The sequence below is a fragment of the Homo sapiens genome, chromosome 2 (assembly GCF_000001405.40).
Source record: "Homo sapiens chromosome 2, GRCh38.p14 Primary Assembly".
NCBI classification, from domain to species: Eukaryota; Metazoa; Chordata; class Mammalia; order Primates; family Hominidae; genus Homo; species Homo sapiens.
The window spans coordinates 154,402,111-154,427,653 of NC_000002.12; the positions used below are offsets into that span (position 1 = coordinate 154,402,111).

Genomic DNA, 25,543 nt, shown 5'->3' on the forward strand with positions numbered 1-25,543 from the left:
AAAAATAATATGCAATTGAAGGATAAACGTATGTTGGGATAATTAAAGTAAAATAATGCTAGTTTAAGTTTAGACTGTCTTATCTTTAGAATGGATTTTCTATGAGTTTTTAAAACGGAAAGATTGGTGGTGGGGGCGTGGGCAGTATATATCTCTCTCTTTTAGAAATGGAATTCTCATTGCTACTTGCTTTTACATTCCAGCAGAGGGAGCAAAAGCTAGTGAACAAATTATATAAGTGATACGAACACTACCAATGATGCTGCAATGCACAGAAACATTTAGAAAAAGTCTTGCTGATTTCAAACATCAAAACACAAGGGGGAAAAATGCCCTCAAGTTTGTGTCATTAAGAATTGTTTTCAAGCAATAAAAGATTATGTGTAAACATAGAAATCTCAAAGCAGACAGCCAATTAAAGTTAAAACTATCTTGGCCTTGTGCCATATATTCAAACATATGTAACATATGAATGAGTCAAAAAAGTTTACCAGATCTTAGAGCTACCAGTGTGCGCTACTATTTTGATTCAAGTTCTGGAACAGACTTTGTGAAGAATTTTTAATGGATAAAGTTCTTTAGTTGTTGGTTGCTTTGATTTTTCTCAGGATTAATGACATGACCAAGCCATTGTTACTGTCAGGTAATATGGTACCGTTGACAAAATTGCATCTTTTCTGAAATTTTACTTCTTCCCTTGAACAACATTCTTTGTGAGTATATATTTGAGGTCTCAAGGTGTTCTTAGAAAAGTTCTGATTTTAAAATTATACATGATCATCCTAAATTTGATTATCCTTTACATCTCAAAAGATGAGATCCATAGTTTCAACTCTCCCATATGCTAGTATTGAGATACATGTTAAGATTTGTTTGTTAAGAATTGTTAGAAAACACCAGTGACCATTTTTGTATTTTGAAGACAATATAGCAGATGCCTACAGGGTTGGGCTCGCTCACTCGGGAACAATTTATGTGCTTCTATCTGCCCCCTAGGTGTGCATGGCTTTAAAAAAAATCTGAATATTTTAGGCCTAGTGATAAAAACCTTTCAGATTTTAGGCCAGGCATGGTGGTTTACGCCTGTAACCTAGCACTTTGGGAGGCCGAGGCAGGCGGATCACTTGAGATCAGGAGTTTGAGACCAGCCTGGCCAGCATGGTAAAACCGCATTTCTATTACAAATACAAAAATTAGGCAGTTGTGATGGAATTCCATGCCTGTAGTCCCAGCTAATTGGGAGACTGAGACATGAAAATCACTTGAACCTGGGAGTTGGAGGTTGCAGTGATCTGAGATCACACTGCTGCACCCCAGCCTGGGTGACAGAGCTGGACTCCGTCTCAAAAAAAAAAACAAAAACGAAAAAAAAAGCTTTCAGATATTGTCTCTATCCCAGGTGATATGTCCCTCTTATTTGTTTAAGATGGCAACTGATATCCTGATTTCCTGACACTCTGTCCTCCACACTGCTTATCTCTCAGGTCACCCTGGACATAGATAGAAATTATTTGCCTGACCTCAGCTCATCAGGATGGCACTAAGCATAAAGAATACTTTGTTTTTAGGCTTTTTGACCTGGTCCCCCAGGCCTAATACCAGGTTGCCTTTATGTATCTTTTTTCATGTGTCTTCACCTGTTGTCTAGATAACCTCTGGTTAGCTCTGTTTAAGCAGAACTGAGTCCTCCCTTGCTCCTTCCAGGCCTCCGTTCTAACAAACACTGCCTCCCTGTCTGGAAGTCAGGACTGGCAATTCCCAGACTCCATAGAATACCTTTACGTTTTGTTTTGGCAAATTAGTTAACCTCTCTGTATCTTAATGTTTTTGTTTGTAAAACGGGAGTAATAGGTTGGCACATACAATTCAAATAGTTTCTAATTTATATTATTATTATCATCATATTGGAGGTGGTAGTGGTTGTCTCTCTTTTCTCCCTGTGGCAGGTTTCCTAAACCATTGACTCCTGTCTATTGCTATTCTCCCAGATTCTACATCCAGCCAGACTTGACTTCAGTTCCTATTTTGTATCCACTTAGCACCTGCTGCATTCTGAAGGACAAGTAATATTACACATCCACAAACTACAAAACCACATTGAATGTGGAGTAGTTAGAATGTGCCAGAAATAGGATAGGCTTCTTTTCATGCAGTCCCCAAGATAAGTCTATTCTGGAATTCTGGAAAAATTGGTGGCAGCAATGACATTATGTGTGAATCTCTGAATTTTCCCATTAAAACAGAAAACGACTAGAACAGCAAAACTTAAAAGAATGATAAACAATTTTGACAACAAATTTAGGTGGCAAAGTGTTCTCACAGATTCTCAAATATGAGCTGACATTGTCATGACCCAGATGATACTACAATTTTTGTAGGAGACAACAGAGGAAAGCAATGAGGTATTTGATGGAAATGAGGTCAGGATAACACCCAATTTTCTAATAGATACTCATGAGAAATTGTTTCAGGCCAATTGGATAATAGTAGCTGAAAATGGGAGAAGTACTTTGCAGGTGAGAAAAAAAACTCCTCTCTAATATCTGAAGGGTCTGAACAGTCTGCAGTCTGTGAATTCTTGAAACTCACTAGCTGAAGCTCCTTCTCAGAAGACACTTTGGGGAATAAAGCCCAACTAGAGTGGGAGGAAAAGGAAATGAATGGTCCAGATTAAAATGGGTGAGGTAAATGGGGTCAGGAGGTCTCAAGAAATAGAAGGGTAATTTTTTTTTTTAACACTTCAAAAACTACAGAAAAAGGTGTTCCATATTTGTGAAAATAGAAATGGTCTTTTGATCAATCATTTCCCCTTAAAAGACTAGGAAAATTGATCTTATGCAAAAAAGGAAAGAAGGAAGGAAGAACAAAAGGAAGAGAGAAAAGAAAAACTAGAAAAGCATGACTGATGTAAGAAAAAGATAGTAAGAAGTAGAATGGTATCTCTGCAAACAATGCAAGCACACCAGTACTTTATGCTCATAAGACAGAGGAAAAGTGTAATCTAATATTTCAAAAGATGCTAAAATAAATGCTCTAAATGATAGAATATAGAAAAGAACAACATAAATTTAGAAAAACTGAAATGTGCAAGTATAATGCAGGAAAGAATTAGAAATCAAAGACTAAATCATTTCAGAAATGAAGGCCAAACTTGTAAGAACACATGAGTGAATAATACCGAGAGCATGCCATAAGAATTTTAGAAAAGAAAAAGGAGCAACTAAAAATATAAAAATTGGAAACTAAATTGTTCAATTGAAAGTGACACATATAGAAGATAAGCAACAAGACCAAAAATATTAGGATTTCCTAAAGAGAAAAACCAATGAAATAAAATGAACATTAATAACTATAGGCAGGGTGCAGTGGCTCACACCTGTAATCCCAGCACCTTGGGAGGATGAGGCTGGTGGATTACCTGAGGTCAGGATTTCGAGACCAGCCTGACCAATATGATGTAACCCCATCTCTTCTAAAAAAAAAAAAAAAAAAATTTGACCAGGTGTGATGGTGGGCACCTGTAATCCCAGCTACTTGGGAAGCTGAGGCAGAGAATTGCCACCACTGCACTCCAGCCTGGGCGACAGAGTGAGACTGTATCTCGAAAAATAAAATAATGACTATAATTCCGGGAAACTTTTCTGAAAATAAAATTGCAACGATATTGTGAAAAGGAACACTACATCCCTGCGAGAGTGATCCATAATGAGTAATGTCAAGATACATTGTAGGAAATCTCCCAAACTTAAAAGATAAAAAAATCAGTTTGGCTTCGAGGGAAATAGATACTTGTAAGAATTAAGAGGGGGAAAATCCCAGATTGTCATCAGAGTTTTCAAAGGAATCCTTTACTCTGGAAGTAAATGGAGTAACATTTAAAAGGTAGTCAAGTTTGGTGAGTCATGGATTTTAGATCTATCAAAGTGATTTTCAAGTATAGCAGCCACAGATATATTTATCAACATGCAAGAACTCAAGACTATTGTTCCTGGTAAATAGAAATAGCATTTGCCCACTCGTTCAGGCCCAAAGCTTGGCATGTTTCTTGATGTCTTTATTTGTCTTATAACTCACATTCGATTCAATGGAAAGTTCCAGTGGCTCTACCTTCAAAATATATCTGAAATTGGACCTTCCACCCCCATTGTTATTCTGTTAATCACCATCATCTCTTGCTGGCATGACTACAGTGGCCTTCTTCCTTGTTTCTCTGCTTCCAGTCTTTCCTCCCTCTAATCTGCTCTTTGCACAGCAGCCACAATAAGCTACTATTATACCATGCCTATGCTAAAACTCTCATGATTCCTTACATTACTTAGTCTGGGATACCTCTCTAACCTGCCCCTTGCTCACTGCAGTGGTGGTACAAGGCTAGTCCATTATTTCACTCAGTACTGTCCAACTACAGGGAGCATCCATTTGCTGTTCCCCTGCCCAAAATGTCCTTCCATAGATGAAAATATGGTTGCTCTCCTCTTCATTAAACGTCTTTTCAAGTGTCTTTATTCCAACTGACCTTTCCTTTCTAAAATAGTACCATCTCCTTCACTTTATCTACCCTTACTTACTGTGCTTTATATTTCTTCACAGGACTTCTTGATTTTCTGACATATTACAAATCTATTTATTTGTTGCTCTCTTCCCTTCTAAAACATAAGCTTTATGAAGGAAGAGACTGTGTTTATTTTGTTCCTTTCTGTCTCCTCAGCACCTCAGGTAGTGCCTGGTATGAGATATACATTTTCCTGATACTACTACTCAATTGAATAAATGAATTCACAAGAGGTGTTACATACTAAAACATTAAAGTGTTATCTTTTGTAGAAAATAGATCAATAATAGGTTGTTACTGAAGGCAAAATATTTTGGAGCCATTCTTAAAGGTATTTCTTAATTTGTCAAAGAGTAAGAGGGCATGCATCTCCGATAAGTCCCTTTCCAGTACCACTGTCAGAGTATGTACTAGGCTGAATATGGCTTTGAATTTTCTGCTTTCCAGCAGAGAGAGAAAGCCTTACAAACAATTCAAGCTGTAACCCCTGTAATTATTAATTAGTGCCTATTCAAGTACCATGTACCTAGCAGAGATTCTTCTAATCAGATTGCATACCTTACATCTAAAAATGAATTCGTCATTTTGTGAGATATGTATTTCTCTAAGTATAATGGCATTATACTGTCCTACACTCTTTTAGGAACTAAATAGCAATAATGTATAATCTTATTTTCAAGAAATCTTCCTTTTATGAAAAGTCAATAAAATCTGATGTAAGGGATTTAAAAATAATTCAACTTATATAATTTGATCAGACTATGTGCAACCTATACCATCCTATTTACTACATCATACTACAATTTATCAGTTGTTACCTTCCTTAATCCTCTCCAGCTGCAGGTCCTGAAAGGTCTTTTGCCTATAGGTTCAATCCCTTCTAGTGTCTGGACCACCTGAAATCAGATTGAGAATATATTTCAGCCCTATATGAACAGGTACCGGGTTTTGCTTCTAGAAGCCCGTGCCCTTTCCTTGTAATATTCAGTGTGTGTTTTGTCTTTTTTAATGGGTTGCTGCTCAGATTTTTTTATGAAAACACATATAACTCTGCTCTAAATCTCAGCCCCTTGAAACAGGGCTTGATGACTCTGTCCAGTTTTTTCTAACATTTACCAAATGGGAATTCTGATCCATACTATTCTCAGTTATTGATGGGGGCCTTAATGCAAGTCATACCACTTTCCCCAACTCCAGGTACTAGTACTTGGCCATGAGGTTCTGCACCACAGAAAAAGTGAATTGTATAAACCAAATTCATCCTCTATATGTTTATGTAGTAAGTTTCCTGTCTTATTCATTAGCCAATGTGAGGAAACATGTACTCAGAGCATAGATAAGTAAATATATGTGTCCAATAATTCTACCAACTGAACAGTAAAATATGCATGTCTATGGTTCGGAGATACAAACTTTTCAAAAGCAGAGTGGACAAGCATAAATACATACTTGGGGTTGAGACTAAGTAAAAATCTGAAATATCCCATTTATTAGAAGGTTGAAGGTTTTTTTCTTTTTTGCATTCATTTGTTCTTGATTCAGTGAGATTAGTATCTTTAAAGTCAATTATTGGTTTTGTAATTACATTTGGCACAAATATGTATTAACTTTATGTTAATTATGGGACTAATGCCATGTTTGAATGTAAACCAAGAACTTTATGTCTGTAGTCAGCAATTCAATCTTGCTTTTGAGGAATTTGTAATGTGAAATCACTGTTTAGCATTGTAATAGCTTTCCTTAGGGTCAAGCACTTCCCAATAAGTTTGACATTAGGCATGAAAGAAGATGCATGAAAATGTTTTACTCACAGATATAAACAGTGTAATCTTTATTAACACACAGAATGGAACATACAGTAATGAAGCAATCTAAAAAGAACATAAATTTCAATATTTAGCCAATTTGTTTTTATTTCCTTCCATGCAATAGTATAGGAGTTCAAGAATAGTCAATGGTTATTTGAGTGGAATATGAAAAGTGTGTCCTAATTTTCAGAGGATTTGGGGAAGAATTCCTAATTCATAATATGCAGCTGCTTCCTTCTTCTATGATACTATGCTATAAACAGGGAATGTTTCTTGATTAGATGCCAATGCCAATTCTGTTCAAAAACTTCAGGAGGAGTTTAGAAATGTATACAGGTTAAGAATGGACACTGAAAAAGACAAATATTTAAAGTAATATGTTTTTCTTGGAGAAATTTTCTTATGAAGTTGTATTATTCAGTTAACAATAGATAGTAACATGAGAAGGATTTGATGACTTAAATAACTGTCTGATTTATGTTTTATCCCCCCCCTTTTGTGTGTTTCCTTTAGATAAGAAATGTTGAAACCAATCAGTGTTTAGACAACATGGGCCGCAAGGAAAATGAAAAAGTGGGTATATTCAACTGTCATGGTATGGGAGGAAATCAGGTAAACTCTCCCTTTTTATCAGCTTCATGTTTTAGAGGGAAAATATTGTTAAAACTATCAGTGGAGACCATGGCTCACATGTTAATAACTATAAACTGAGCTTAATAAATAAATGTACACTCAAATCTAGAACTAATTTGGCTATTTTATTGTCCCAAGGATCTTAAAGGAGAGCTGAAAAATTAAAATAAAAAGAGCAACACTTTCAGTGTGCCTACAGTTAATGAAGATATCCAAATATTTTAGACACATCTCATTTTATCATGTATTAGCAAATGAGAGGAGTACATTTTATTCTATTAACTGAATATAGAAAATAATTCCTCAACATCTGTGATGTTTTCCCAATGGTTATTTTTATCCATCTCTTTTCAGATTTTTATGTATGTTATGATTTTTAAGAGCTTTTGAAGTTTAATAAAATGTTTAAGTATATAGTTCAGTGTTGAAAGCTGACTAAAAGTCTTAGACAGCCTTTCTTGTGTGTGACAAGAGTTCTTGTGCTCTTCTTAAGCATTGGAAAAAAGCTTTGCATGGTGGGCCACATGGAGGCTATTTGGCTGTGAGTCTTCAGGACAGAGCTATTTTACTGCCATGGCCACTTTGAGAGGTAGAATTTGGAGTTCCTGGGAACTATACCAACAAAGCAGAGTTTGAGGTAGCTAATCCTCTGTAAACAAGTTATCTACAGAAGTTTAGGAGAACCAAAAGTTTTTTATCCAGAGGTAGAATTTCTGAGTTAGTGTGAACCGAGGTTGCAAAAGTTATCCTGTCCAGCACAATTATGGTTATATTTGTGTCAAGATTTATTACAAAAATACTTGTTGATTCTTGTACTATAAAGAAGAAAATGAACTCTGTTGAGTTTTGGCGCACCATACTTCAAACAGGGCCGGTGTTATTTAATGGAGAACATTAAAAGGAAGTTTCTCCCTTAAAAATTCTTAATTTAAAAAATCCTAATTAGTGTTCCAAACTGTCAATTTGAGCAAGAAAATATTTAAACCAAATTTCTAAATTACAGCATGGGAAATTGACCTTATGGAGGAAGAGGATAGAAACAACATAGGCAGACTAATGACAAAGCATTCAGAAATGATTCCATTTATTGTTTCACTGATTCATAATGAATGTGACAGGCCTCTACTGCCAAAAACCAATGAAGTCCTGATGAATTCAGCTGGAAACAACAAAATGCTTAACTATAAGAGGACTAAATGTGTGAGGGTTTAATTTTCTCACATAATAAAAATTCTGACATTTGTTTAGGACCTCAATGATTTCATAAAGAAACCAAAAACTTTATGTCTTTCCATTCTTTAGTGTTTAGAGTTAACTTTTATCATCAGCTGGTCAGAAGAGGACTGCTGAAATTCCAGACATCATATCCACATTCAAGGCAGGAATATCAAAGTCAGGGAAGAACTGCAATAGCCATATCTGTTTTTCTTTTAGGAAAAGCAAAAGCCTTCCTAGAGGCTCTACACGTCTCAGTGTATCTCTCTTTAGGTAAAAATGTGTTACTTGGACATCCCTAGTACAACAAAACACTGAATATTTAACCCCACACTCACAAGTAGCTGCTTCTCACAGTTCATTTACCAAGATATTGGGGAGACATTTAGAAGTGCCAGCCATAATCTGTTTGAACAACTTATGGCAAAAAAAATCAGCTAATTATCTGCTCCATAATTTCATACAGAATTTAAAGAAACACTACTTATGAAATCTCTCTCATTCTATTGCTTATGAAAATAAGAAAGGTACCCCAGATGAATTCTCTACATAGAATCATTACAGTGCCATATTAAAAATTACTTTATTCATCTGCACGTTTTCAAATACCCAGAAATAAGCTATCTCACTCTACTGCAAACTTCTTGCTGGCAGTCCTATATCTTACTCCTGTTTTCATACCCAGCACCTGCTGCAGTCTTGGAACATGGTGAGCACCTAACGAATACTAGGCAAGTAAATAGATGAAAGATTGTATTGCCAGAACAGTAGATTTGTACCTTAGAACTTTGTAGACATTGCCAAGAAATAATGAGCTGTTATTTTCATAGTAACTAAAAGTATATAAAAACAGCTCAGGGATTCATAAAGAAAGTGATCAAATAATAATAAGCATAAAATCTATCCCTACTTTTATTCTAATGTGCTCTACAAGATCAATTTAATAACAAGATAAAAATTAAAACCATTATTTTTCCATCTACATACTTAATTGCACATACACACACACACACACACACACACACACACACACACACACACAAATGTTTTTGGAGCCCTTTTTGTTAAAACACAAACAATGGAAACAATTCAGTATTTACCAAGAGGGGAATGGTTAAATAAAGCATGGTATACGCACAGTATAGAAAGCTGTATACCATCAAAATGACTGAGGGAGGTCTGCATGTGTGTCACTAGAACTTCAAAAGAGAAAAACAATCCAGACAACTTATTTTCAATAATCTCATTTATGAAAAAATATTTGAACAATATATAGTATCTGTATATTTATATGGATGCTATGTAATCTATTACAAATCTATAAAAATCTATCTGGAATATAGATTGTATCTGGCGAGTGGATATCTGGAAAGAAGACTGAGTTGGAAAAGAAATTTTCCTTTTTACCGCACATTTTTCTGCATACAGTAGTACATGTATTTCCTTCATAATTAAATAAGAATGGGGAAATTTAAACTATTGAGACTAGAAGAACATTGTTGTGTTGCATTACCCTGATCTGATTAATTGGGTAACTTATGGCAAGTTACATAATATTTTTGAGCTTTGATATTGATTGTCCATAAAATGAACAAAAGATTTCATTCAAATTTTTTCTAACACTAGGAAAATTCATTAAAAAAATTAACACTAAACATGGCACATACTAAACATGCAATGTGTATTGATCCATTGCCATTAATTAGCCCCTTTACTTGTTATTTCTATTGATGTTGTTAATTCTCTTATTTCTGAAGTTAAAAAATGTTCGTTCAGTGGCTAATGTCACAAGCAAGATAAAAGCACAACACTTAATTTGGTATTGTTGATTTCAAAACGATGAACAACCTCTCCTGTAACTCTAACAAATACAGATTATGGAAAAATTTAACCATCATATAAAACTCAATTATTATGAATTCTGCTCTGATGGAATTCAATATTTCTAAGATAATTAATACTAGGAACCTGTTTCAGGTTTTGTCTTTCTCACTTTAATAAAAAACAGATTTTAGAATTTTATTCTCAGAATTACCCTCCCTGGTTTTATTGCTATTCTTTTATGTTACCATGGAAGCAGCAATTATTTTTATGGTTATTTAGTTTTGACTGTTTTATAAGTAGCCCCCAACCCATAAAAATCACTCAAGCTTCTCTCTCTTGCTTTTACACAAAAATCATAACAAATGTTAAAATCCTTTTTTAACTTAGTTACATTTCTAAAAAAAGGTATTTTTTTTTTGTTTGTCAACAATTATACCTTAACCATTTCTCCTTGCATAGGAGTTTTGATAGTTTAGGGGTTTTTTAAGGCCTTGGAAACATCAGGAAGAAACTTACTTTTCAGTAGTTGTTAGAAATAATTTTCTTAAACACTCAGATTTCCCAGCAAAATCTAAATGGAGTTAATGAAAGTTTTTGTAGCAGGAATACTGCAAAAGCTAACAACTGGAGAATTATTATTCAATTCAACATGACCATTTTGAAGTGCTCTTTTTTTAAAGCCTTATAAATAAAAACTGTCTTACTCAAAGAATAACAAAATTCAGCACTCCATTTATATCTATTCTTGCAATGATTTATTTTCATTGTCAAGCAACTTCATGATAATCATTAACACTTTGAAAAGAATAAGAATAATTTGATTAACTTGAATATAAACTTTTACAAGTGAAAGACAGAAGTTACAATTTACTGAAATAAAGTATAGCAGTTGTGAGAGTGTCTTCTCTGTACTTCTGAAAGATGGCATGGATTCCTGGAAGCACTTCCATGTCCCGTACAATGTTAATGACTCAGATTTACATGTACAGCCCCAACCTCTCTCCTGAGCTCTAGAATCTATAGCCAGTTAATTATCGTTAATGTCTGCAGACATCTCAAACCCACCTGTTTCCAAACTGAACTCATTTCCTTTCCTTTCACAGAGTCATCCAAAATGGAAACCTAACATAGAAACATACTTCTGAAGTCCGATTAGTCACCAAATCCCAACACTTCTATGGAAAAATGTCCCTACATCTTAGTCCTTTTATAACCAGGATCTCTGCCTTTGTTCTAGCCTATATCTACTTTTACCCATATGGATTTAAAACCTCATTATTTTCATAACTCATAATTCATGCTACATTAGTTTAACATCTCATTAAATATTCAGCAGCTTTCCACTGCCCAAAGAATAAAAGCCAAATTCTTTCCTATGATATACAAAACCCCTCATAATTGTATCCCCATCTGGTTTTCCAGCCTGATCTACCTTGATGTCCCATCGGTCTCCTGTGCTCTAGACATACGTCTCATGATTTCTCATTCCTTGAATGCTTTCAGTGTTTTCCTATCCTAGCAGTTCACTTACACTGTTCTCTGAAATTGAGCTGTTGGCTACACTCTGCTCCACTAAAAAACTTAAGACACACTCACTGTTGAAAACCCGATAATTTAGCTTCTCATTTGCTAGCTATTCATTAGCAACTCCTTAACCTAAACAGGACACATTTTTAATGGATAAACTATAATTGATTTATTCATTGTTTTATTGTTTAACATACAATATTTATAAAAGTTCATTGTTATAAACCAGGCCCATCAATTTCCTTGTAGCTAAAATCTGGCAAGCGCCAATATTTACTTCTTTAGAAATATCTCTAGAAGTACATTTGCTACAGGACACATTTTTAATGGATAAGCTATAATTTATTTATTCTTTTATTGTTTAACATACAATATTTGTAAATGTTCAGTATTATAAACCAAGCCTATCAATTTCCTTGTAGCTAAAATCTGGTGATCACTAATATTTACTTCTTTAGAAATATGTCTAGAAGTATGTTTGCTCAATCAAAGGTTATGCAAAATTAGAAGGCTTTTAAGGTATACTAACAAATTGTTCTTTTTTCTTAAGATTTCAGCAAATAAGACTAATAGCTAAAATAAAAAGGACTCTGATAAACATTTAATACAAATTACCCTCTTTGAGACTTACAATGATCTTTGAAGTAGATAGTGTTATTATCTTATTTTACTTACGAATGTAATGGAAATCTTGAGTGATTAGTATCATGATTGAAATGGTAAAGCCAGTGTGAACCTAAGTCTGATTCCACACCAGGTTTATAGTCACTGTATTTGCATTGATTTCCAACCACACTTTCCAGGATTATAATCGCAGTGGCCAACCCTGTGTATTATATTTTTTTTTTGTTTTTTATCTTTGCCATTTTAGTATGGGAGAAACATTTTATCTTGTTTCAACCATATTTCTAGCATTATCAGTGCATTTAATGATTTTAAAAACTGGCATTTAAACATTTCAAAAATTGTTATTGCAAATTTTCTAGTGATATTGTTGCTTATGTTTCCATTGGGGGTTGAAAGGGGTCTTTTTTCTCTTGTCATTTATAAGAATACTTTGTTAAATATTATCGCCCTGGTCATGCATTTTGCAAACATTTTTCTGACTTTTTGTTTACAGTTTTTTTTATATACAGACTTTTCAAGTTTATATATTAAAACCAATGTTTGCCTTAATACTTTCTCTTTTTTGTGTAGAAATGCCATTCATTTTTAAAGTGCTTTGAAAAAACATTTATATCATCATAAAGGCATAATATCAAAATTGGTACTCAGATCATAGTCTTATTAGGAATATGTTATATCTACTCAAACTGATATTAATTTTTATTTAAAATTTACATAAAATAGCTGGGCATGGTGGCATGCATCTGTAGTACCATCTATTCAGAAGGCTAAGGCAGGAAGATCTCTTGCACATAGGAGTTTGAGTCCAGCCTGGGAAATGTAGCAAAACCCCATCTCTAGAAAAAAAAAAAACTCTAATACATAAAATATATTCATAATTAGGTAAAAATTAAATTAACATAACATTTATAACATAAACATTTTACTTTGAAACTAATCACTGTAACAATTTTAAAAATTCAATGCTGTTTCCCTCTGAATAGCAGCACATCTTTAATTAAAAATGAATAAAAATAGCCCCATACACATTGTACCTTTTCCTTTTAAAGGCAAAAAAATGTAAAGTAATGGAAAAATATTCACAACCCTAGTGAATGCATTTATAATGTTTCTTTTTCTCCCTGGAGCCACTCATTTGAAGACAGCTAGAAAGCACGTGGAAACATTCCATATAATTTATTGCGGTAAATGATTCAGAGCTATTTTTCAAGGTAGCAAGCCTTTAAGGAAGCTTATGCTAGCCATTTGTTAAAATGCTGTTTTCTGCCAAGATTAAAGAAGAGATCATTAGGTATGATCTACACTTTTATACAAATATCTCCTCCTCGTCTAACATCTGATTACTTAAATTGAATCTAATCTTATGACAGGTGTATTAAAAATTTAGAGAGTAAACAAATACTTTGTTTCATTACAGATCCTCTCCTAGAGAAAGCTTAATTATTTTATTAATATGTTCTAATGTACTCACAGATTGTAATGAATACATTCAACAGATATATATTCATTTTAAAGTTTGCATTTTTATAAGTACTGTAATTACTTAGAAGCCATTTCAATACTAATTTGGTCCCTTTTTAGTAGCTTGCACAGTGGAATTAAAACTTACCAGGGATTTCACAGAGTAAATTTGCAAGTTAAATAGAATGGCCTATGAGGAAAGAAGGAAAATCTACCATTCATTAAATGTTTAAATGAGTTGGATACATGCAAGCTAGAAGAAAGCAGGGTTACCACAACTTCTATAGAAACAGGAATTATTACAAGAGCCTTTCATTATCATTAATGCTTGACTGGGAGAACTTCTCTGGTCTTTGCTGACTTTGTCCTCCTGTCAGGAGATTATACTATACTTGGGATGGAATGCTGTCTTAGTCTATCTGGGTTGCTATAATAAACATACAATAAACTGGGTGGTTTAAAAACAACAGAAATTTATTGTACACAGTTCTGGAGGCTGAGAAGTCCAAGATCAAGACACCAGCAGATTTGGTGTCTGATGAGGGAAAAGTTCATTGAGCCTTCTTCTTGCATGCTCACATGGTGAAAGAGAAGAGCTAGATCTCTGGGTTTCTTTCATGAGGACACTAATCTCATTCCTCGGGGCAGAGACTTCATGACTTGATCACCTTCTAAGGGCCCAGACTTCTAATGCTATCACCCTGGGGACTGGATTTCAATGCATGAATTTGGGAGGGGGGACTCAAACGTTTAGACTACAACAAATGATAATTTCAGTCAATCATTCATCCAACAAAACCTGATTATCCTAGTCAATAATAAACACTCTAGGTAGTATATGACTAAGGGGAAAATATCCAAAGAAAAGAAACGTTTCACTTTGGCTAGCTTTTTGGGGGATCATGAGTTATCTCTTTACCCTCAAGTTCTTCAAACAATGAAGTTTGAAGTTTTCTTTTAAGTAAATCCAATAGGCCCTGTGATCATTTGATCAGTCAGGTGTCAACAAAGTCTTAGGATACTTTTACATGTCAGTGAATCTCTTATTGCCATGCTACTCTGTTCAGTCTTGATTCTTCACATTTTATTTTTCTGCAAAATTAATCCCCTCAAGTTTAAGGAGGCGTCAAAGTTGTACCATATCCTGGGCTTGCAGCCATTGTTTCAAACTCAGTGTGTCTATAATTACCTTTTGTCCCAAGCCTTTTGTCCTCTAATCTCTTTCTTTCATCTTTTACATTTTTCTCTCTCATCTTTCATCACCCCATGCTCACTACAAACTGGACCTAAGCCCTGGGGATTCATTCTACTAGTCTTTTTAAAATCTATTTCTTCTTTTCTTCCATTAATAACTCAGCTTTCTAAATTTGAGCCTTGATTGCCTCAGACTTGAATTACTACAATAATTTTCAGTGTAGTTTCCCCAAACTCCAGCCTGTCCCTATCTTCATTCCACCTTCCTTAAATAATTAAGTGATGACTCCGTCGAAATTATCGCTCCCAGTTGGAAAAACAAACAAGCACCAAAAAAAAAAAAAAAAAAAAACCTGAAAGAGTTCCTAGTTATTACAGGATAAAATTGGCATTGTTTACACAACTTTGACCCCTTTCTGCTCTACTCCATCAACTTTATGGACCCTGACCAGACTTGTAAAAAATTGTTATTGTTAGTTGTTGTTTTTCTTATAGCTTTGCCTTTTCTTAAACCCATTTGCCATGACCTTGCCATGCTTTTATTTATTTATTTATTTATTTATTTATTTATTTTTTTGAGGCGGAGTCTTGCTCTGTTGCCCAGGCTGGAGTGCAGTGACACAATTTTGGCTCACTGCAACCTCCACCTCCCGGGTTCAAGTGATTCTCCTACCTCAGCCCCCCCGAGTAGCTGGGATTACAGGAACCCGCAACCATACCTGGCTAATTTTTGTATTTTTAGTAGAGACAGGGTTTCACCATGTTGGCCAGGATGGTCTCGAACTCCTGAACTCAGGTGATCCACCCGCCTCCACATCCCAAAGTGCTGGGATTACAGGTGTGAGCCACCGCGCCCGGCCACTTTTAGAACTATGTAAATTCTATCAATCTAGTCGCACTTCAAAACCCACCATCTCTATATAGTGCTGTATTTTTTCTGCTTTTCAATATACATTTATATTTCCTTTGAACTTAGACTGCAGAATTTTTTCTCTTGTTTTTAACTTATATATTATTTCTCAATATTTTATTCTTTAATCATTATGTTGTCATTCAATTATGTATGTTTCATTATCCTATCTGCAAAAATAAATTGTAGTCTTTTTTGGAAGCAAGAATTTGTTGTTTTTCTTTTTAAAAAATCCCCTTACAGGAATAAACGCTTATTAAAAGAATGAACAAGTAAACAATTGTTATAAAAATGTTTAAAGTTACACAAGAGCCTGTTATCATAAAAATAGCTTCAAAATTCTGACTACATAAACTAAAATCATCTTCCTGGAGGATGAAATTGTTCCTCTAGAAATGTGTGGATTTGGGGCTTTGGTAACTGAAAAATGAATATCAAAAGATACCCATGTTCTAACCCCTGGAGCCTGTGTTTTACCTTATGTGGCAAAAAATATTTTGTAGACATGATTTTGTTAAAGATCTTGAGATATGGAGATAATCTTGTGTTATCTAGATAGCCGCGCTACCACATGTATCCTTATAAAAGGGAAGCAGAGGGAGAAGAAAAGGTGATGTGACCATAGTGGCAGAGCTTGGAGTAAAGCGGCCAATAAGCCAGGGAATGGTTGTAGTCACAAGAACCTGGAAGAAGCAAGGGCTAGATTTTCCCCCAGACCCTCTGGAGGGAAAGAGGCCCTGCTGATACCTGATTCCCACCCAGTAAAACTGATTTTGGACTTCTGGCCTCCTGAAATGTGAGAGAATAAATTCCTGTTTAAGCTTCCAAGTTTGTGATAATTTGTTTTATCAACGACAGGAAATTAAGGGCTCACAAAGAAAATTCTAGAAACAGTATAGCTCAGAGTTCATAAATAGCCAACTTCTTTGGACAAAAATTTCTAAGATACTAAACCTTCCTCAAAGTTGGAAACATACATGATTTCATCCTGATACTTCTAAACATGTTGTGATAGCTAGAAAGAGTGGACCTCAGTTATATAGTACTGATTCTTCAGAAAGTTTTAATTGTAGAATTTTTGTTTTTAGAGATTCTATTTTAACTCAAATTTTTGTATTCTCTACCATCATAGTAATTGTAAATAACATTGTCAATTATAAATCCTATATTAATAAAAATATAAAATAACTAAAATGAAATCCTTAAAATATTAAATGATAATGGCTCCTTCTGTTAATAAATCCTGCACAGGAGTGTTAAAATTATTTTATCCAATAATTGAGCAAAAAATCAACAAGTAACATTTTCCTAATTCAAGAAAATTATATCAGAGGAACATCTATGAAAACTTGGAGTTGATAAAAACTTGTAGGAACTTGTGATCTGATCCTGCCGAGTGTTGCCTGGCCACAGTGTTTTCTAGCATAGAAATGTTAAATATGTCATGTTTGGCCCTTTTCTTTCCCTGACAAGAGTTACTCAAAGATTGTAAGTTTTTGTTTTCTTTCTTAAGATCTCTTAAAAATTGAAAACTAGTATTGGCTGTTTTTTAGATTTATCTTTTAAGTATTGTAGAGTCTCATTTTATGTTTCTACATTTTGATTGTTAACATCTACCATGTAAGACATTTTTTCAAAAGTGTTAGAAAAATTGTCAATTCAAGTCAATCTAGAAAACACCTTTTCCATTTTCATAAGATATTTAAAATTCATTTCATGGGATCCTACATTGATTTAAATAAGTCACAACTTTGGCTCTATGCTTTCTAGCTATGAGCACAAAGTTGGTTATATGATTCCTTGTGTCCATAATATTAAAAAACAGCTTCGTAAAAGTTCAGATATTCCTGGTGTTAAAATCATAAGGATATCTACTGTGATTATCGATAAGAAAAGCAGTACATGGAAAAGGGACTATGGCACCAACAAGGGAAGGACACCAGACCAAATTGGAGAAGACAGTGTCTAAGAAGGCATCTTAGAAAATAGCAAAGTATGTCAGTGCAAATAGTAGGACAAAATATTATTCTGTTGATTAATTGGTTAAAGTATATCACCATCATCCCATGCATAACTGAGATTAATATTACATTTCTATAAGGCTTAAACATTAAAATGATATTCTGTTTTTTAATGTACATAAATGTGTATCAGTTTTATTAATGGGATTCCCAGAATATTTGGAAAAACTCCCCTTAAAGTGAAATATCACAGTAAGTGTATAAAGCAGAACGTTTAATACTACCCTGGTTTAATAAAACCCCACTACATACACACACACATACACGTAGACACAAAGGCGTACCTCAACCATCAGGACAACTTTTCTTACTGAAAATGGGAATCTGTTACCTGAAAAATTTACTAAAAGGAAAATGTGTTGCTACTAACAGCATCCACTTTGTACCCATTGCCCACCAATTTGTCTCCTCTAAAGCTCCTGTTATATACAGATGGACTGCAAGCTCTCTGCTGACTTTACCAAGATGAATTTGTCTCCATTAAACTAGATATTTATTTCCAGCAGAACTTATTACTCCTGTGTACTCTTTAATCTTCTGACCCTCATTCTTTTCTCCACCTTGTCTTCAAATAGTTTTCTCCTGTTTTATGCCTAATTCGTTTTGACTTGAGGCTATAACCTTACTCATTACTGTGAAATGTATCCTTGTTCAAGTAACCTTCCGGCCAACATTTTATCATATTTAATACTTTTTTAATTAAATGATTTGAATGCATGAGTCTACTATATGTGAAGAATATTAAGGTCTTTCGAAATACTCTTCTATTCCCCATCACCCTTAGACTAGCTGTATGCCTATTTTTCATCAAGGACATAATTATTTTCACCATAACCATTTTAAGCACTCTATAATAGATAATATAACTTTATCTTGGCTTAATCCATGTAGTAAAAGTCAGTTTATTATTTTCTAGGTAAGGTAAATAATGTCTGTGATTTCTAAATTAACAGCGTTGCCTAGCCCACTTTTATATTCTTGAGAAGCCAAGCAGAATCCATACTTATGATTAGTTGCTTTGCTGTACCTGTGATTGTCTTCATCTTACTGCATTTGCAATTCCATCCTAGTTATTAAATTGTTACAGTTTTGGAATAAATTAGGCAAGGATATTCCTAGTTTTTTTTGCTTTTTAAATATGAAAACTTATTTTTTCAGAAATGAAAAGATAGCACAATAAGGCCAAGATGACATAAAACTATACAAGAAATTCATGTTCAAATAGTTGACTAGGCAATACTAATACTTTATCCCGGGAAGAGAAACATTAAGTTTAGAAAAAGAAGACATCTGAAAAAATATGCAAGTGAAATGAAGATATTTGATATATTTTATAGCACAAAATACATTTTATATTCTGTATAAGATTTTTTAAAGATTCCTTGCTTAAAACTTACCAATTTTTAAAAGGAGTCATCAAATATAAAATATTATTGAAAGTAGCCCAGTGTAAGGAGACTAATCAAGTGGAAGCTACACATCGATATGGCTAAAACACAATGTTTTAGATATGTCATTTAAAGTTAACTATATATCCCATATATATTTTGCCTTGCTACAAATATAGACGTAGTAGTCATACTATGTCAGCAAAATATCTTCTATTATAGGTTTTACATGCCCTAATTATATACTCATGATGTCAAAAAGGAATTGGATCTGAGATATCATGAGATTGTCATTTTTCTGTATAAATGATGAAGAAAAATTATTTCTAATTTTTTTCCAAATCTATTCTTAACATTAAAAGCTATCTTTATATTGAAATATGTCTAATACTTTTTTCTTTGCACAAGAAATACGTTTTCTAGGATTTTATTGCATTCTACACTAATTTGAAGCATGTGTTAGCAGTATGAAATGGGTTTTTTCTTTTAATTACATCATATATAATTATACATGCAAGAAATATATATATATTTGTTATAGATAGATATCGCTGTTTAAATCCACTTTGAAACAAGATGTAATATAAATAGGCACACAAACCATATACTCAATCTCATAGGGAATACAAAAGAATCATTAACAATACAGCAAGCATTCATAATGCTCTACAGGAGGCATTCAGGAAAAGTTCTGATAAGGACAGGAATGGGTCTAAAAGACTCCACAAAGCACTCAGCGTGCACAGAGAGCAGAGGGTGAGTAAGGACAGCAAGGACACTGCCACAAATGGAATTGAAAGTCTGGAGTGGGACAGTGGAAAATTAAGTTTTACAAGTAGAAGAGCTAAGATTACAATAGAAGGTAAATGTCAAGCAAGGGAATTTTGACTTGAGGGGACAAAAGAAGCAATGAGCTTTCAGACTACAAAGGTTGTCAAAGGATCGTGTGTAATAAGCATCATGAAAATACTTGGACTGCACTTTTGTTATTAAAAATGACACTGTGAATTCAGCCAAATATGAAAAGGGCTTCTTATTCATGTTATTTAGTGTTGAAGTCTAATTTCACAGCAAGCAGGGGCAGACTGTAGAAACTTTTTCAATTCATTTCTTTTATTCTGCTATCAAAGGATTTGATCCAATACAAAGCATGAAGCTACATGTGGTGTATACAGAAATGATACCTTTCCATTAAAGGAAAAAAAGCTTCAGTAGGTAACCATGGAAACAGCCTAGTGTCCATTCCAATTTCGAATAGAAAATCTTAGTCTTCTAATGAAAACCTACCAGATAGACATACTTCTACTCCAGCTCTCTAGTTCTAACTCTCTAAAAAGGTTTGGAATATTCATTTTATTTAAGAAAGTAAAATATGTGTTTATGACTGTAATATGCAAAATTTGATTTTTTCTTTTAGACAAAAAATTCAAAGATGCATTTTAAGACCGTAACACCAAGGAATGATCAAAGTGGTCTTGATAGCTCACCATAGCCAGTGTCCAATTCATGGTTTACACATTACTGAGAGCAAGTGCCACTTCTGGGTGGCAGAAATTGTCATGTTCCAATCCACCTAACAAAGAGACCTGATTTTTTTTCTTCACTCAGTGAGTTAACCAAGTGACCCGTGAGGTGGACTTATTTTTTTTATTATTATTATACTTTAAGTTCTAGGGTACATGTGCACAATGTGCAGGTTTATTATATAAGTATGCATGTGCTATGTTGGTTTGCTGCGCCCATTAATTCATCATTTACATTAGGTATTTCTCCTAATGTTATCCCTCACCCCTCCCCCCACCCCACAACAGGCCCTGGTGTGTGATGTTCCCTGCCCTGTGTCCAAGTGTTCTCATTGTTCATTTCTCACCTATGAGTGAGAACATGCGGTGTTTGGTTTTCTGTCTTGTGATAGTTTGCTGAAAATGATGGTTTCCAGCTTCATCCATGTCCCTGCAAAGGACATGAACTCATCCTTTTTTATGGCTGCATGCTATTCCGTGGTGTATATGTGCCACATTTTCTTAATCCAGTCTATCATTGATGGACATTTGGGTTGGTTCCAAGTCTTTGCTATTGTGAATAGTGCCACAATAAACATACGTGTGCATGTGTCTTTATAGTAGCATGATTTGTAATCCTTTGGGTGTATACCCAGTAATGGGATTGCTGGGTCAAATGGTATTTCTAGTTCTAGATCCTTGAGGAATCACCACACTGTCTTCTACAATGACTGAACTAGTTTACAGTCCCACCAACAGTGTAAAAGCATTCCTATTTCTCCACATCCTCTTCGAGCTGGACTTATTTTTTAAATGTATGAATCTTAATGTGGTGTTACTTATAAATCTAACATAAATACATAGCCCCCAATTTCTTACTGAAGCTTTAAGAGACAAGTTAAAATTGTTCTCTGGGATCCCTTGTACAGAAGAATTTCATATAAGTTTTGTAGCTTACTCCAGGAGGTATAACATAACCTTCCCCCTTCCCTGGCATGTGTGCTGTGTTGACTTTCTTCCAAAGATTACAATGTGGAAGAGGATAGTGGCAACTTTACAATGGAGAAATATTGGCAAATACTACCTTGAGTATGTAATCAAGATTCTATAATGTGAGTCATAGTGATACCGTGCACCCTTGAAGTGATGGGAATGACACTGTACCTTTGAGGTCTTCCACCCCCAACCCTAGACCCCTAATCCAGCCATGAGATAAACATTAGAAAAATTCAAACTGAGAGATATTCTATAAAGTGCCTGATAAGTATTTCTCAAAACCATCATCAAAAAGATAAAAGTCTGAACATCTATCAGAGTAGGCTGAGGGCATATGATGACTAAAAATATATTGTTGGATGGGATCTTGGAAAAAAGGAGCATGGATTGGATTCGTAGGGGAACATGATGGAAAACCTAATGAAATCTGAATAAACTCTAGAGTTTGAAAAGTATCACCAAGAAGTGAAATGCTAATTGTGTGGAAAGAACATGGGACTTGGAGCCTGACAGACCATAGTTCAAACACTGGCTCTCCCACTTGCAAACGGAGTGACTTTGTAGAACTTCTTTAACCTTTGCAAACCTCATAATCCTAATTTGCAAAAAAAGAATAATACTGTATGTGCTATATCATATTTAATATACAGTATATTTTAAATGACCACTGTCTTTCGTAACACACAACAGTTGCTCCCAAAATGTTGTTTCTCCCCTTGCTTCCAGCCCAACATCAAAAGGCTAGCACCTCTGACCCTCTGGGGGTCTTTTAACCAAAAGAGGCTGCTTTGCCCATCAGTCACATTAAATTCTGCTCCCTGGAAGCTCACCTCAAGCAAAAGCTGAGGGCAGATGATGTATAAATATCTCAGCCCTGTCACTCTTTGAGGGACTGACTCCGACGTGCTTATTCTACACTGGTTGCCAGGGATCCCCAACAGAATTAAGCTCTAGTTATCCACAGTGTAACTAATTAGATAATTTACCATGTATTAGCCTTTTTCTCTTCCCTACCACCATACTTGTCTTTTCTGAGATCATATTCCTAACGAACGACTTGCACTTGAATTACTGTCTCAGTGTCTGCCTTTGGGGGAACCCAAACTAAATAGACCCTGCTCTTAGTTTGCAGCAATACTGACAGATGCTATAAGTAAATAAGATTTCTTTAAACTTGAAGCCATCTAGAAAACTTTGGTATTATTTGCACCCAATGCAAGCATTGTGGTAATAATTCCAAGGTAAATTTTGAATATTGTGTCCGGTGAAGAGTACTCTCCCTTTACAGATAGAGAGTTGTAAACAATACATAAGTATATCATTGTGCCATTTAGGATATTATAATTTGGCTTTTCAGAATCTTTATATATGTAACAATTTTATCTAATTACATGCCTGAATATATCTGGTATAGTATATACCAGAGTTTTAGGAAGTGTCTAAAGATACAAGTGAAAACTTTTAAAATTGTATGAAATGTTACAAAAACACCTGTAAAAGACATTCAGATGGGATAGCAAAAAGTCTTTTATCATTATTTTTCAGCTATTGAAACAAACACTAAAATACAATAGTTTATCTAGGTGTCATGTGAATGATATATTTATTGTTGTTATGTCTGTTTTACATTTACATGCTTAGATCAGTAAGAACCTCAAAGATCAGGTATCTTGCTGCATAATGGTACCAACTAATGAGACTGGCATAAAGGGAAACTATGTATGCATGTATGTTGCCCATTGCTAAAGAAGAATATCTCATTTAGGAGTCAGTGTTCTTGCCTTGAAATATATGTTCAAAAGCCAGTTCTTCACAGAATAAATACTTAAGGAATGATCCAGTTGAGAAAACATAGGCGAATATACCATCAATAGAAAGATAAGTTGCCAGAAGACCATTACAAAAAGAAGAGAGTTCAAATGAGGTTGGAATAGTGGGAGAAATTCTTACAGAAATGATAACACTCGGTTAGATGTATGTGTATTGAATTCAGCAGTTCATGAAGGTGATGTGTAATTTGGATAAACAAGACAGATTAAACACACAGAAAAGTATGTTGAATAAATAGATGATTGAATAGCTGAGAAATAGAATGATAGAGATGGGTCATGGGAGATGATGTCTCACATGGTGAGAACAATTCTAGTTTTTGCATGTTTCCTTTTTCCTGATGGTCCCGTATTAGTTTTCTATTGTTTCATAACAAATTACTACAAATTTAGTGGCTTAAAACAACACAAAATTATTATTTCACAGTTTGTAAGAGGAATTCAGGCACAATGTGGCTGGGTTCTCTGCTCAGGGTCTCACACAGCTGAAATATAGGTGTTGGCCAGAGCTGTGATCTCAACTCAGCCTCAGGGGATTCCTCTTCCAACCTCCCTGGTTCCTGGCAAAGTTCAGTTCCTTGCAGCTGTAAGACTGACTTCCTATCTTTCTTTGTTGTCTGGCTCTCTGCCAGGGTTGCGCTCTGCCAGCAGCTAGAGGCTGCCCTCCGTTATGTGCCATGTAGCTCTCTCCAAATCATGGCAGTTTTCATCTTCAGGCCAGCAGGAGAGTCCCTCTCTTCAGTGCTAACCCAAGGTTGTATCTAATATCTTTGTAATATAATGTAATGTGATCTTGAAATGACTGTCCTGTCATGGTCACAGTCTGTCTTGCACTTAAGGGAAGGAGGTTATACAGGGCATGTATACCAGGGGATAGAAACCTTCGGTCATCTGCAAATTGTACATCAGTCACATAAAAAGCAATATGTGTACATTCAAGCATAACTCGTGGGATATATTTTGGAAGGGATTCCCAACTGAGCTTAAATTTGCAATTTATATTCTTCAATACTGCAATAGTAAAATATAAGCATCTGGAGCATGTTTATAAATTAGATTTCCCAAATTGTAGACTTCCTTTAAAACCCTTCAGGGCAGAGTCAAGTATTAAAATTACATAAAATTTAACATTGGTAATGTTTAAAATGGGAAGATTTAACAATGAAGTAGAATAGAAATGTCAGTCACATTTTGTTATTATATTACTGCATGTGGCTTATTGTATTATCTTGCACTGTTGCTCTGTTTCCCATAAAGACTAGGGAATTTCAAAGACAAATTATTTTCATTTCAATTCAATTCATAATTGTTGGACACTACTCTCCTACTAGAACAGTTTCCATAGGGATTCAAAATATATCCTTAGCATTGTTATTGAGTCCACAAGATTTTTTTAAAAGAATATAAAAACCAATAGGAAAAGATGAGATAGAATATAATCAAATGTAGATTTTATGCATGAATATTGCACAGATAATCACTAATATTTAGATATTACTTGAGGCAAATGCTTTGTTTAGAGCTTACATGAATTTGGCTTATTCAGTCTGTAAAATAGCCTATGAAAGAGGAGCCATATATTTATCCTTTTTCTCAGATGAGGAATCCAACATTTTGACAAAGACTCCCAGTAACCCTGGTCCTGAGTGATACCTCTCAAGCTTAGGTTTGTGTAATCTTCTAGAGCCCATTGTTGCAGTATTGTCCAATTCCAAATATATACAGATATGATACCTACCTGCGGTACAATGGCAGATAAGCTATCTGGGTAAAAATGGTAAGAGAGTGCTAAATGAAAAAACTGAAGAATGTATGAAGACTTTAAGGAGATTAGCCTTTTGCTTGGCAAAGCGGAGTGGGAAGGATAGTCCTAGTGATGTGATCAGCACATACGAGGTCAGGGATGGAAGAATAAGCTGGCTTGCTGAGTGCAAATTAAGCATCACATTGTTATATATTGTTATATTGAGGTGAAAGCAGAAAGAGTGAATGCTTTACAGATGATGTTGAGGACAGGATGAGAATACTGAACATAAGATGCATACCCACATCCTGT

The 25,543-nt window shown here is 34.6% G+C and overlaps 1 protein-coding gene across 20 annotated transcripts in view; it reads left to right on the forward strand.

Moving 5' to 3' along the window:
* GALNT13 (polypeptide N-acetylgalactosaminyltransferase 13) overlaps window positions 1–25,543 on the forward strand; it is a 1,388,282-nt gene that overhangs the window by 1,333,818 nt on the left and 28,921 nt on the right. For 19 of the 20 annotated variants that reach the window (NM_001422882.1, NM_001422883.1, NM_001422881.1 and 16 more), the window contains one exon: window positions 6,874–6,972. In NM_001422882.1, coding sequence (NP_001409811.1) covers window positions 6,874–6,972 — 99 coding nt within the window. Of the gene's footprint in view, window positions 1–6,873; window positions 6,973–25,543 lie in introns of those variants that run through there. The other variant, XR_007069045.1, reaches the window with a different exon arrangement.